The 12,764-nt window shown below is 38.4% G+C and overlaps 2 pseudogenes; both read right to left on the minus strand.

The window, feature by feature from the left end:
• On the minus strand, window positions 4,300-4,404 carry RNU6-582P (RNA, U6 small nuclear 582, pseudogene; annotated as a pseudogene).
• Window positions 7,004-7,601, minus strand: LOC391707 (chromatin accessibility complex subunit 1 pseudogene; annotated as a pseudogene).

The raw sequence follows: 12,764 nt of genomic DNA on the forward strand, positions 1-12,764 counted from the left end.
AGGTAGATGGCACATGTGAGTCAGAAATTGAGGATCACATTTTCTTTCTCATTACTATGATTTTATTATGCATTTTTATTCTGTTTTTTATTCTAGAACAGTGGATCACATATGGTTTTAGGAGTTAAATGCAATTTACTTTTATATCCTCGTCTATCACCTACTAGTTCAGAGTTGCTTAAAATATCAGGACTCAGTTTGTTACTCTATAAAACAATGTTACGTCTAAGAGGGTTGTCATGAAGATAAAATGAGGTGAATTTTTAAAACATCTAGTGTCTGGCATACAGTAGGTACTCAGCAGAGACAATATTCCAGAACTTTCAGCATGCAATATGTTTTCCTTTATATATATAAGGATAGAGGAAATTATTATTACTCCCATATATAACACAATTATACTCACTTATGTGAACACATAACTTATCTGAATAATGCAATTTTGGCTCTAATATGAGACATAAAAATTGGAGATCTTCTTGTCCAACATTCTCCTAGACAATTTCAAGACTGATGATCAAGATTTGCTGTTCATATTCCTTAGACTCCTTCCCTGTACAATAATTTAAAAACATACTGAATTTGAAAAGCTGCTTTAAAATTTTAATGGTCAAACGTAAATAGACAGTAAATGGAAAATACCATTTAAAGAATGCCAGAGGTGGGATGCCCTGTGATGTGAGTAGCTCCTTCAGACCCAAATTCTTTTGCTAATCTATGGAGAAACTGAGCTGCATAAATGTTATTCCAGCTAATCTTGGCCTTCTTCTTGTGCCTTGCCTGAATCATGACTGGAAAATAGGTAATATAACTGTTTTTTAAACTATGTCTGCATTTGCAGAAAATGCTGTTTGAGAAGTTTGGACATTTTAGTACTGTCCCTATCTATTTGGCCTTTCATCAACTCCCTATCTATTTCCTTTTTCATTAACTCTATAGATTGCTTAAAAGCCAGGTGTTTTGTTTTTGGTTGTTTTGTTTTTTGTTTGTTTTTTGTTTTTGAGACAGAGTCTGGTTCCATCGCTCAAACTGGAGTGCGGTGACACGATCTCGGCTCACTGCAACCTCTGCCTCCCAGGTTCCAGCCCGGCTAATTTTTGTAGTTTTAGTAGAAACGGGTTTTCACCATGTTGGCCAGGCTGGTCTCGAACTCCTGGCCTCAGGTGATCCACCCACCTGGGCCTCTCAAAGTGATTGGATTATAGGTGTGAACCACTGCACCTGGACAAAAGCCAGGTGTTCTAAAGGTTGCCTTTGCTTGAGTGCAGGATTGTTTTCATCCTAATATAATAACATTTTTTTCCTCTCATTTATTTCTACATTAAAGAAGGCTTTAGTGTTTTTACAGAAGTATTTTGGCTAAGTAATGTTTTGTTTTCTGTCTTTACTATTTGGAATTTAAAGAAGGAAATTATTTTAGAGTTTTGAAATACACCAACTGAAGGGGAATTTTAATTATTGGTGTCAGCTGGATTGTAATACTGATCAAAAGTATAATAATAAATAGAGAATGTGATTTCCACCCTCAATTGTAAGGGAGGTCACGGTACCCTTATTTTGCTAATTGAAGTTAAATCTGACTCAATGTCCTCACTTTCCCAGGGTGGAAAGAAATTCAATTTGGTTATATTTTGAGAGATCATTCTCCTTCTTAGGGTCACATGACAAACTAGAGAACTTTGTAATGCCTGGAATACGGAAAGAAGAACTACATTCTGCAATACATCTAGTTGTTGACAAGATGCTCATTTTCTGAGCCATGTGATTATTCAGATGTGAACAGCTCAATCCTTCCATGAGAAACATGAGCAGAAGCCTAACCATACCATGGTTGTTGGCATTCTCCATCTCTCCAAGCATCCACATGCCACCCCATCTTAGGTTTCAGTGGCTCTCAAGTCCATATTTCTCCATGTGTTACGAAGAACCACATCCCCCACTACTCTCAAGGAAAAAGAAAAAATCAAAACCAAAGTAAACAAAACACCCATCTCTATTCTTCATCTCAAAGAAATTTTCTAGAAGTTGAAGCTCTTTTAGCCTTAATATTCTATTAACTTCAGAACCACACCCTTCCATTTATGACAATTTAATTCAAAGCCTCTTATATCTGACCCTAGAAAAAGGGAATCCTTCTGCCTCTAGGACTCAAAGCCCAGCAAAACATTTCAAAAGAGTTGAATGTGAGAAGGAAAATAGTTCTCATTCTTTAAAATTCTTTATAAGAGTAGGATCAAAACATATTATTTGTGTCTATAAATTGTCTAATCACTAATGGTACCAGGACTTCTTGTCACTAAAACTATGCTCTGTAATGCATTCCAGTGGAAAGCGGTGTTTATAGTGCACCTGAATTAGACCTGTGTCAGACAGGGATATTGTTCTAAAATTAATAATGAGTTGTAAGATTGTATACATTTATAATTAATTTTTCAAAACCTTGGGTAGTTGGTGAGACTTATTTCAGGTTTCTTTTCTTTATTTCTGTAAGTAGCTTTGATCCTTGCATGCAGTACAATGTACTCTAACTAGAATTTTAGCTTTAATGTTACCATCTGAGAAATATCTTCTGGTTGCAACTTTAACACATTCCTCATACATGATATAAAGTGCAACAATGTTTTATTGGTAGCATACCAGTCAGTACACTGCTATTTAAGTTCTGAAAAAAGTAGGCAAACAAAAACCAACAGGACAACAAAAACAAACTTTGTGGTCATTTTGTGATAATATGATAAAATTTTGCTCATTCTGATTTTTTAAAAATAGCTATATAATCATGATATATTTTAGCATAGTCACATAAAATAACCTAATTACTGTTGCCAAAAGGAGAATGCTGAACAATGATGTTTGTGGGATAAAATTCTTTTGTGGAATTCATTAGCAGTATCAGACACAAAAATATTTATGATGTTATAAAACTGCTGGAAAAAAGAAGACATTCTGTATAGTTTAGGGTTTATTTGGGCCTCAAACTACTTTTATGACCTTGAAATTCTCCCAGGTTGTGAGTTCACAGAGTTTATACAGTGTGCAAGGAACACCTTTGAAATGAGACTGAGAAGCCTTTCAATGAATTTTGATCACTCGATATAATTTGCTATGAATGCTATATTCAGTCTACATAGCAAACTTACACTGAAGGTTTGGACAAGGGAGAGGGTTATGTCCTAGTAATGCAACCTTGAATATCAGACCTACATTTTAAAAATAAATAGTTTATGAATGTTATATTCATAGCAAATGATATATAAGTGATCAAATCCATTTAAAGTATTCTCAGTCTAGAGAAAATGTGCTTCTGTATGAAGTCATAGAATTTCTTCTTTCTTAGATTTAGCCTTATCTCCACGCCCCATATTTATCTACTCTAATGGACATACTTGTTTTTCTGTTTAGCATCCCTTTCTTCTTCCTCCTCATTTTGAAACAATACTGACACATTTCACTAACTCCTAGCTGTAGTGGTAGGTCCCAGATATAATCACTGCATTTCTTTTCCCCTGTTGTAAGTATTGGGTTAGTACTGGCCATGTAAACTACACAAGCCAGCTGGATATACCTTAGGACATGTAGTTGGAATACTGTAGCCAGAGTGCTTTCTCTCCAACTGGTGTAAACACCAGTTGCTGCAACTGTAAGAGGAATTAATCTTAACCTTAGACTAAAACTTATTTTAGAAAATCAGAGTGATTGGGGTGAATTGGATCAGCCAAATTCTGCTATAAGTCTGGAATTCTAGTTATATCAGTCAATATATTTAAGTTACTGTTAAGGCAACTGGAGCTGCAATTTCTCTTGTTATTTGCATAAAACTTCACAGACTTAGCAACCAAATTATTCTTTTTAGAAAAGGAAACATTTATTCCTTCCTGCCTTAACCAAGTATAAAAACCTCTGTATCGTCATAATAAAAACGACTAAATTTTTCCTCAGGCTTCACTCTCCAATAGTTATACCGTTATTTATTTTCCCTTTGAAAACAGATTTACTAAAATGTGTGACAGGTTGTAGGCATTACCCCAGATATCCAAAATCTAGGTAGTAACTGCTTTCTTTCTTTCTTTTTCTTTTTTTTTAAATTATGCTTTAAGTTCTAGGGTACATGTGCACAACATGCAGGTTTGATACATGGGTATACAATGCCATGTTGGTTTGCTGCACCCATCAACTCATCATTTACATTAGGTATTTCTCCTAACGCTATCCCTACCCCAGCCCACAACCCTGCAACAGGCCCTGGTGTGTGATGTTCCCCGCCCTGTGACCAAATGATCTCATTGTTCAATTCCCACAAAAATATAGAACGCTTCAGGAGTCCGCATGTCGTCCTTGCGCAAGGGCCATGCTAATCTTCTCTGTATCGTTACAATTTTAGTACATGTGCTGTCGAAGCGAGCAAGGTAGTAACTGCTTTCTGCTCTTGCAGAAGCAAGGTTGTAGGCTGAAGTGGAACTCAACCTACAAAGCAAAGTTACACTGAAGGTTTAGACAAGGAAAGGGGCTATGTCCTAGCAATACAACTTTGAATATCAGACCTCCATTTTTAAAATAAGTAGTTTAGGTCCTCCTTCCTGGGAATTTCTGACCGCCTTCTCTGTGAGATCTAGCCTCCTACTATGCGGTGTTTCTTTGCTTCTCTGTTTTCTGGGCCATTTGTACTGGATGTCTTCTCCAAATTCCAGTCTCCTCTTTTTATTCAAAAAACAATAAGTATAATTTAGCTCTTTCTGCCTCTTTTTAGCTAAGATCCACCTTTGTACTTCTAAGGACTCCTTAAAGTGCTCTATTAAATAACAGATTAGCCAAGGTCTGTGCTGTCTTTCAGTAACTCAAACCTGGTGAAGGCTCTGCGATTGACATCTTCCTTATTTTGCTCTTCCATAAGACTCAGTGGAAAGGGGAATTCGTTTTCTGTGTTATTTGAATCATGCCTCTTATCTTGAGAACAGAAGTAACTTTATACACAACTTTAGCCCTTCAATGCAATTGTCTGTCTCTCTCACTAGAACATGAACTCTGTGAAGGCAAACTATCATATTAACATTAGTTTCTCTCTTCGCAGCACATAGGTATTCAATAAATATTTGTGGAATGAATGAAAATGTAACAGAGCAATACAAATAAAAATTCAGTATATGAGGGAATTTCATTTGACCAAATATCACAGACATTAGCATAATTTTATCCAAGTATTATAGTCACGTGTCGCTTAACAATGAAGCTATATTCTGAGAAATGTGTCATTAATGGTGATGTCCTCATTGTGCAAACATCCTGGAGTATACTTACACAAACCTAGATGTTATAGCCTACTACACACCTAGGCCATGTGGTATAGTTTCTGGCTGTTAGTCTACGAAATCTGTACAGCATATATAATTTTTGATTTTAAAATATTTTATATTAAAATAAATGTTAATAAACAAGAGGAACAGAAAACATCAGTGATTGCCAGGGGGCAGAAAACACTGAAAACAAGGGGGCAGAGGGGAATGTTTTGGGTGATGGATCTGTCCTGCCTACCGACTGGTTACAAAACTATGCATTTGTCAAAATTCACAGACTAGACACTAAAAAGGATGATTTTACTGAATGTAAATTATAAACCTTTTCTTCAAAAAGAAAAAGAGTGAGAGAGAGGAACCAAACATATACCCTTTGTGGAAAAAAAAAGTCTTGTAATAGGTTTCATCTTTTTTTTTTTTTTTTTTTTTTTTTTTGAGACGAAGTTTTTGCTGTTGTTGCCCAGGGTGGAGTGCATTGGTGTGATCGTGGCTCACTGCTACCTCCGCCTCCCGGGTTCAAGCGATTCTCCTGCCTCAGCCTCCTGAGTAGCTGGGATTGCAGGCACCCGCCACCATGACTGGTTAATTTTTTGTATTTTTAGTAGAGATGGGGTTTCACCTTGTTGATCAGGCTGGTCTCGAACTCCTGGACTCAGGTTATCCACCCACCTCGGACTCCCAGGGTGCTGGGATTATGGACTTAAGCCACCGCACCTGGCCGTTTTTCTCTTACAGACAGTAAAAACAAGTACTAGGGATTTAAAGCAAAGAACAGTATGAGAGAGATCTTCAACAAAGAAATGTTTCAAAATGTGTGTTTTTTTTGTTTGTTTGTTTGTTTTAGAACAACGTGCTTATACCAGAGGTAAGGCTTATTTTTGTATTTGGTTTGATAATTTGACTTGCAATTTTTCTATGGGAATAAACGTGTTAGAATGCTTATTTTTAAATTTCACAAAATTTGCAGGCAGTAAGCAAGGACTTAGAGCCATAGAGGGCTCTAAAACTAGTTCTATAAAGCATCTTACCATAAAAATATGTACAGATTTTTAATAGAAAAGTATATTTCTTTACAGTAGAAAAATAATATTTGAACAAATAGTCAACTTTTCTTGAAAGACAAGAATTCAAATGTAACATACTACTTATAAACTAGCTAAAATTGAATCAGGCTGTTTATAAGAACTGATTCCAAAATTTACATATATGAATGTACATAACTGATCTGTAGAAGCTCTTCAAAATCTATTGTGAATTTAAAAGTTAAAATTGTCCTTGCGGCTGGACGCAGTGACTCACGTCTGTAATCCCAGCACTTTGGGAGGCCGAAGTAGGCAGATCACGAGGTCAGGAGTTCGACACTAGCCTGGCCAACATCATGACACCCCTTCTCTACTAAAAATACAAAAATTAGACGGGCATGGTGGCACGCGCCCATAATCCCAGCTACTGGGGGGGCTGAGGCAGGAGAATTGCTTGAACCCAGGAGGCGGAGCTTGCAGTGAGCCGAGATCGTGCCACTGCACTCCAACCTGGGCGACAGGGCGAGACTCCGTCTCAAAAAAAAAAAAAAAAAAAGAAAGAAAGAAAAAGGAAATTGTCCTTGCAGTTTGGCGCTACAGCAGATCAGCCCGCAATGGCTGCCGGTATCCGCTGCTTTCTTGGTGTCTGAGCTGTAGAGCGGACCTGTCAAAGAGGGACAGCTGTTTGGGTCACTTTCCCTCTGGCTGTTTGTGGCACAGGTACATGAGGACCTCAATCTTGTCCTGGAAAGAATACCATGCACTGGAAGTCTGCGAAGAAGTGAAGACACTAAAGGGGCGCAGCGTTGTGTTTACTTGGCGGCAGTGGAGCGGGTCCAGGGCAGTCCTCCTTCGCCAGGTTGGTTTTTAAAGCACTTCTTTGGTTTAGGATTCAACTTGGTCATGGTCACTTTCATTATCATTGTCATTCTCCTCATCTTTTTCCCTCTTTCCTCTTTAAGTATTTTCGGGTATTTACTAGCTAAAATCTTCTTTGGCAATATATCTTCAAGAAATTGAAAAGTTTCTGATTCCTCTGCAGTATTTGCTAAATCGCTGTCAGTGTTTTCTTTTCCTTCGCACTGCCATGTCTTTGTCTTTATGAAAAGGGGGCTAGATATTGAACAGAGTTCCATTGCCTTGGCCGTGAGCACCAGCGCCTCCTGGTGGACGCTGGACACCTCGGGAAGCTCTTCATGATGACCCGGATGCGAGACAGGGGCAGCCAGAGGAGCGGCTGCTGCCGGCGCTTTTCTTTGCCCATGACCACCTCCGCCATCTTCCCGCCACTGACGGTCGCACCAGGAAGTGGCTGCTTGGCCAGCCCGTGTGTGTGCGGGGCCTGTACAGCATATTACTGCACTGAATACTGCAGGCAATTGTAACACAATGGTATTTGTGTATCTAAACATACCTAAACATAGAAAAGGTATATCGTAGAAATGTGATATAAAAGATTAAAGTGGTGTATAGGGGCACTTCCCATGAATGGAGCTTCAGGACTGGAGGTTGCTCTGGGTGAGCCAGTTTACATTTACTGGGTGAGTGAATATAAAAGCCTAGGATATGACTGCATATGACTATAGACTTTATAAACACTGTAGATTTAGGCTTACTAAATTTCTAAAATATTATTTTCTTCAATAATAAATTATTCTTAGTGTATTGCTTCTTTTTTATTTTTAAACTTTTAACTTTGAAAAACTTTGACTCTTGTAATAACACTTGGCTTAAAACAAACACATTGTACATCTTTTAAAAAATATTTTCTTTTTGAATATTCTTCTATAAGCCTTTCTTCTATTTTTAAAATCGTTTTTACTTTTTTGCTTTTTAAACTTTTTTGTTGTTGTTGTTAAAAGTTTAAGAAAACAAAGACACAAATACACACATTAGCCTAGGCCTACAACAGAAACAGAATCATCAGTATCACTCTCTTCAGTCTCTACATCTTGTCCCGAGGGAAGGTCTTCAGGGACAATAACACACACGGAACTGTCATCTCCTGTAACAACGTCTTCTTCTGGAATATTTCTTGAAAGACTTGCTGAAGCATTTTACAGTTAACTTAAAAAAAAATAAGTAGAAGGAGTACATTCTAAAATAATGAAAAGTACAGTATAGTAAGTACATAAATCAGTAACATAGTTGTGTATTATTATTCAGTATGATGTACTATACATAATTGTATGTGCTATACTTTTATAAAACCAGCAGCATAGTAGGTTTGTTTACATCAGCATTACCACAGACACATGGGTAATGCATTATGTCACAATATTATGGCTACAATCTTACTAGGTAATAGGAATTTTTCAGTTCCATTATAATTTTATGGAATCACAATTTTATATGTGGTCTATTGTCAACAGAAACATCATCATCTGGTGCATAACTGTACATTTACTTGTTTAATTATGTTAACAATTATTGTTTTTAATGTAATATTTCTTTCTAAATTTAGGCTATTCTGTCTTTAATATTGTTTGGTTTGGGTTGGGTATTTTATAAACTCTTAAAGATAATTGCCCTATTACTTTTTTAAATTTACTTAATTTAATTAATTAATTAATTAATTAATTAATTAATTAATTTATTTATTTTGAGACAGAGTCTTTCTCTGTTGCCAGGCTGGAGTGCAGTGGCACGATCTCCGCTCACTGCAACCTCCGCCTCCCAGGTTCAAGTGATTCTCCTGCCTCAGCCTCCCGAGCAGCTGGGACTATAGGCGTGGCCACCATGCCCGGCTAATTTTTGTATTTTTAGTAGAGATGGGGTTTCACCATGTTGGTCAGGATAGTCTCAACCTCTTGGCCTCATGATCCACCCACCTTGGCCTCCCAAAGAGCTGGGATTACAGTCGTGAGCAACTGCACCTGGCCTAAAATTTTTAAATAAATTTTCTTTGCAATATTCCATACAAAATATTACTAGAGAGTAAATTTTTTATGCTTCTTATTGGTCTATGTTGGAAACAATGGCAGATTCTTGGGCTTTCTGGCTACTTCATTTCTATCAACAAAGTTACATCATAGAAAATGAATTCAGAAAATCAGAAAAACGTCTAGTCTGGGTCAAGTAGGAAAGGTAACCAAGTCTCTAAAAATTGATCTCACCAGTACAAACTGTATTCCCCCAGGTCTTCATAGTCTGTGGTTTCAAAATGTGTCATTTAAAAAATAATATTTAAAATTTTACTGGCTCTTGACACCTTCTGCAAAATACATTAGCCCTTCCAAAATTCATTTTCACACTTCTGTGTGTCTCTGAAATTATCTCACATATGTTCCTAAAGGTTTCCTCCACGATTCTTCAGTTCTCATCCCCTCATCAATGTCTGACATTTCTGAAGCCATTCTATGACAGAACCTTCCCCACCTCCTGATGCAAACGCCGTATGTGAGAACATCTATGTACTTTATAATGTGTCCATGATATAGTCATATCATGATCCAAGCAAATTTGGGGCAGAGCAGTAGGGGGTGGCGAGTATTTAAAATGGCACAAATTGTGCCATTCTCTCTCACAGAAATTCTGGCAAATCATCTCCTCCATTATCTTCCTATCTTTCTAAAATATTAATCAGTGGATTGGAACCCCAGTGGAGCCCAGATAGCATACCATCCTTCTTTTCCCTTAAAAACAAACCATCTACCAAGCAATCTACCTGCTAACCATTGACAATGAAAGCAACATCTTCCCCTTCCTGTATCTGTTATGCATCTCAACTTTCAGTGTCTCTGCCTAGCAGTACCTCTCTTATTGTAACATTTATCTGAATCTTGATTAAGCTTAAGAAAGAATGGCCTATATGTACTGGCATATTTGTACCTCCTCTTCAAATTCATTCTCTCCCCTTCTCCACCCTGCTTTTTGCCCCAGGTGGCTGACCTGTATAAACTATATCATTAGGCTTCCTTCACTCTGCCTTTCAGTTGTCTTATACCAACAAGGAGCCTGAAGAAAGGAGAAAGAAGAGTGAGGTCAGAATATCTCCCCCTCTGGCTTCCTTCCTGATAGGTGAGCTCAGGTGATCTGTATGCTTTCACTAAAGGTCACTGCATCTTTCCAGGCGACCGCTACATGACTCTCTCCTGTATTCAGTGACTGAACTCCTTCCTCAGCCTAAGGATTTCAACAGCTCCGTTGCTAGTAACCTTGAATTATTCAACCAACTTTTATTATTTCCCTCACTCACACGTACATTGTAAGTAAAATATTATTGGATCAGCCTGTTTGTATATGCCATCTGTTTTTGTTTTCTGTGGGGACCCAGACACAGAGCAACTGGTACTGCAACTGACCCTACAAAACAGAACCTCACAGTAGGATTCAGAAGAATTAGGTTGCTCATGTATTTGAGATGCAAGAGACATGCTCCTTACAAAAACAGGTGGTGAGACATGGAAAATTTATGACAGATGAAGGTGTCATGATTACCAGCATTCATTTTTACTGATGATAGCATAGGATGAAGAGGGATTTCAGAGAAATCAGGTTTCACTTAGTTGTTAAGAATATAGTAGTGATTTCAGATATCGCAGCTATTCAGCTGCTTTTTCTGGTCCTAGAGAACAAACACAGGGAATATGAGAAATTAAAATCTGTAAGCATGCAATTAGGGATATGCATGGGAGAAGTAGAAAGATTCCCTGAAGTTTTGAATGAGTCCCTCCTCTCCTGTAGTAGAGGGAAATTTATAACTTGTGGGAAATCTAAATTTTCTTTTTAAGTAAACAGAGTTTCCAGTGCCAATTAAATGCTCTACCACACATCTCTAAGATAGTGGTATTGGTGGCAAGGACTGAAATCCTGACACATAAACTAAAGACATTTATTTAGACATAGATGAAGCTGGGAGTCTTAAAACTCCAAATTCCCCCATATTTCTGTGTAAGCAGAAGCAAATCTTTTCATTCTCTTAGAGAATAATCTCTTATCTGAGGGAGAAAAAAGAAAAAACCTGACTACATATGGGACAGTTGCTTCCCAAGACAAAGTGAATTCTTTCCCATCCCAACATCTCTTATTGTGTCTAGGTTGATAATAAGAGCTCGATCCCACTCTGTCAAGAGAGGTACAAAGATTGTTCTGGATGTGATGGTCTCTACAGCAATTCAATTAATACATTATATTGAAGAAACCCTGTTAATTGTACCTGGTGAGCAAAAAATAAGTTTCTCAGATATATTAGTAAAAATATGTGTGATTGCAGTGGAAGATAAATCCCTCAGAAGTTAGAGGTCTGCTTCACAGATGAAGTTTTTTAAGTGCCCAGTAATCTGAGGCTGGTACCTTCTACCACCCATCACAATGCTTGGTAGGCTTCTTTGGATTATGCAGGCAATGTGTACCACATTTGGGCATGCTGCGCTTGTGTCCAGAATTGGTGGGTTCTTGGTCTTGCTGACTTCAAGAATGAAGCCTCGGACCCTTGCGGTGAGTGTTACAGCTCTTAAAGGCGGCGTGTCTGGAGTTGTTCATTCCTCCTGGTGGGTTTGTGGTCTCGCTGGCTTCAGGATTGAAGCTGCTGACCTTCCCGGTGAGTGTTACAATTCTTAAAGGTGGCAGGTCTGGGGTTGTTTGTTCCTCCCATCCCGAGTTTTTCATTCCTCCCGGTGGGTTCGTGGTCTTCGCTGGCTTCAAGAATGAAGCTGCAGACCTTCACAGTGAGTGTTACAGCTCATAAAGGTGGCACGGACCCAAAGAGTGAGCAGCAGCAAGATTTATTGTGAAGAGCAAAAGAACAAAACTGCAGAAGGGGACCCGAGTGGGTTGCCGCTGTTGGCACTGGTGGCCTGCTTTTATTCCCTTATTTGGCCCTACCTACATCCTGCTGATTGGTCCATTTTACAGAGAGCTGATTGGTCCATTTTACAGAGTGCTGATTGGTCCGTTTTACAGAGTGCTGATTTGTCCGTTTTGAGAGTGCTGATGGGTGCGTTTACAATCCTTTAGCTAGACAGAAAAGTTCTCCAAGTCCCCTCCAGACCCAGAAGCCCAGCCAGCTTCACCTCTCATTCTGACACATTTATTAGGAATAATCTGTAGGGCAGATAGATGAACTGAGAAAAATAAAATGTAGCAGCAGGTTCAGGCTACGGTGCAAGCTGACACTTGAGTCTTGAGGTTCAGTAGACACAATTGTATTGGAGGCAGCTGGGGCAGACAGAGATGCTAATGGAGAGCCTGTGTCACACTGCATGAAGAAAGTCACAATACAGATGCCCAGTGCTTGAAGTCAGACCTCCCCTCTGCTGGCAATTCTTTTTCATTTCAAAAGTGGCATCTGGCTTGCCACTGGGCCGTGGTATATACTTGAGCTTCTGTCCAGAGGACACCACATAACTGCAACCTGATCTTCCCATCCTGAAGAAATGGGCATATCTGGTCCATTTTACCCTTACATTTGGCATGATCATCAATATACCGTTGTAAAATAGAAATAGAA

This window comes from Homo sapiens, chromosome 4 (genome assembly GCF_000001405.40).
Source record: "Homo sapiens chromosome 4, GRCh38.p14 Primary Assembly".
NCBI lineage: Eukaryota > Metazoa > Chordata > Mammalia > Primates > Hominidae > Homo > Homo sapiens.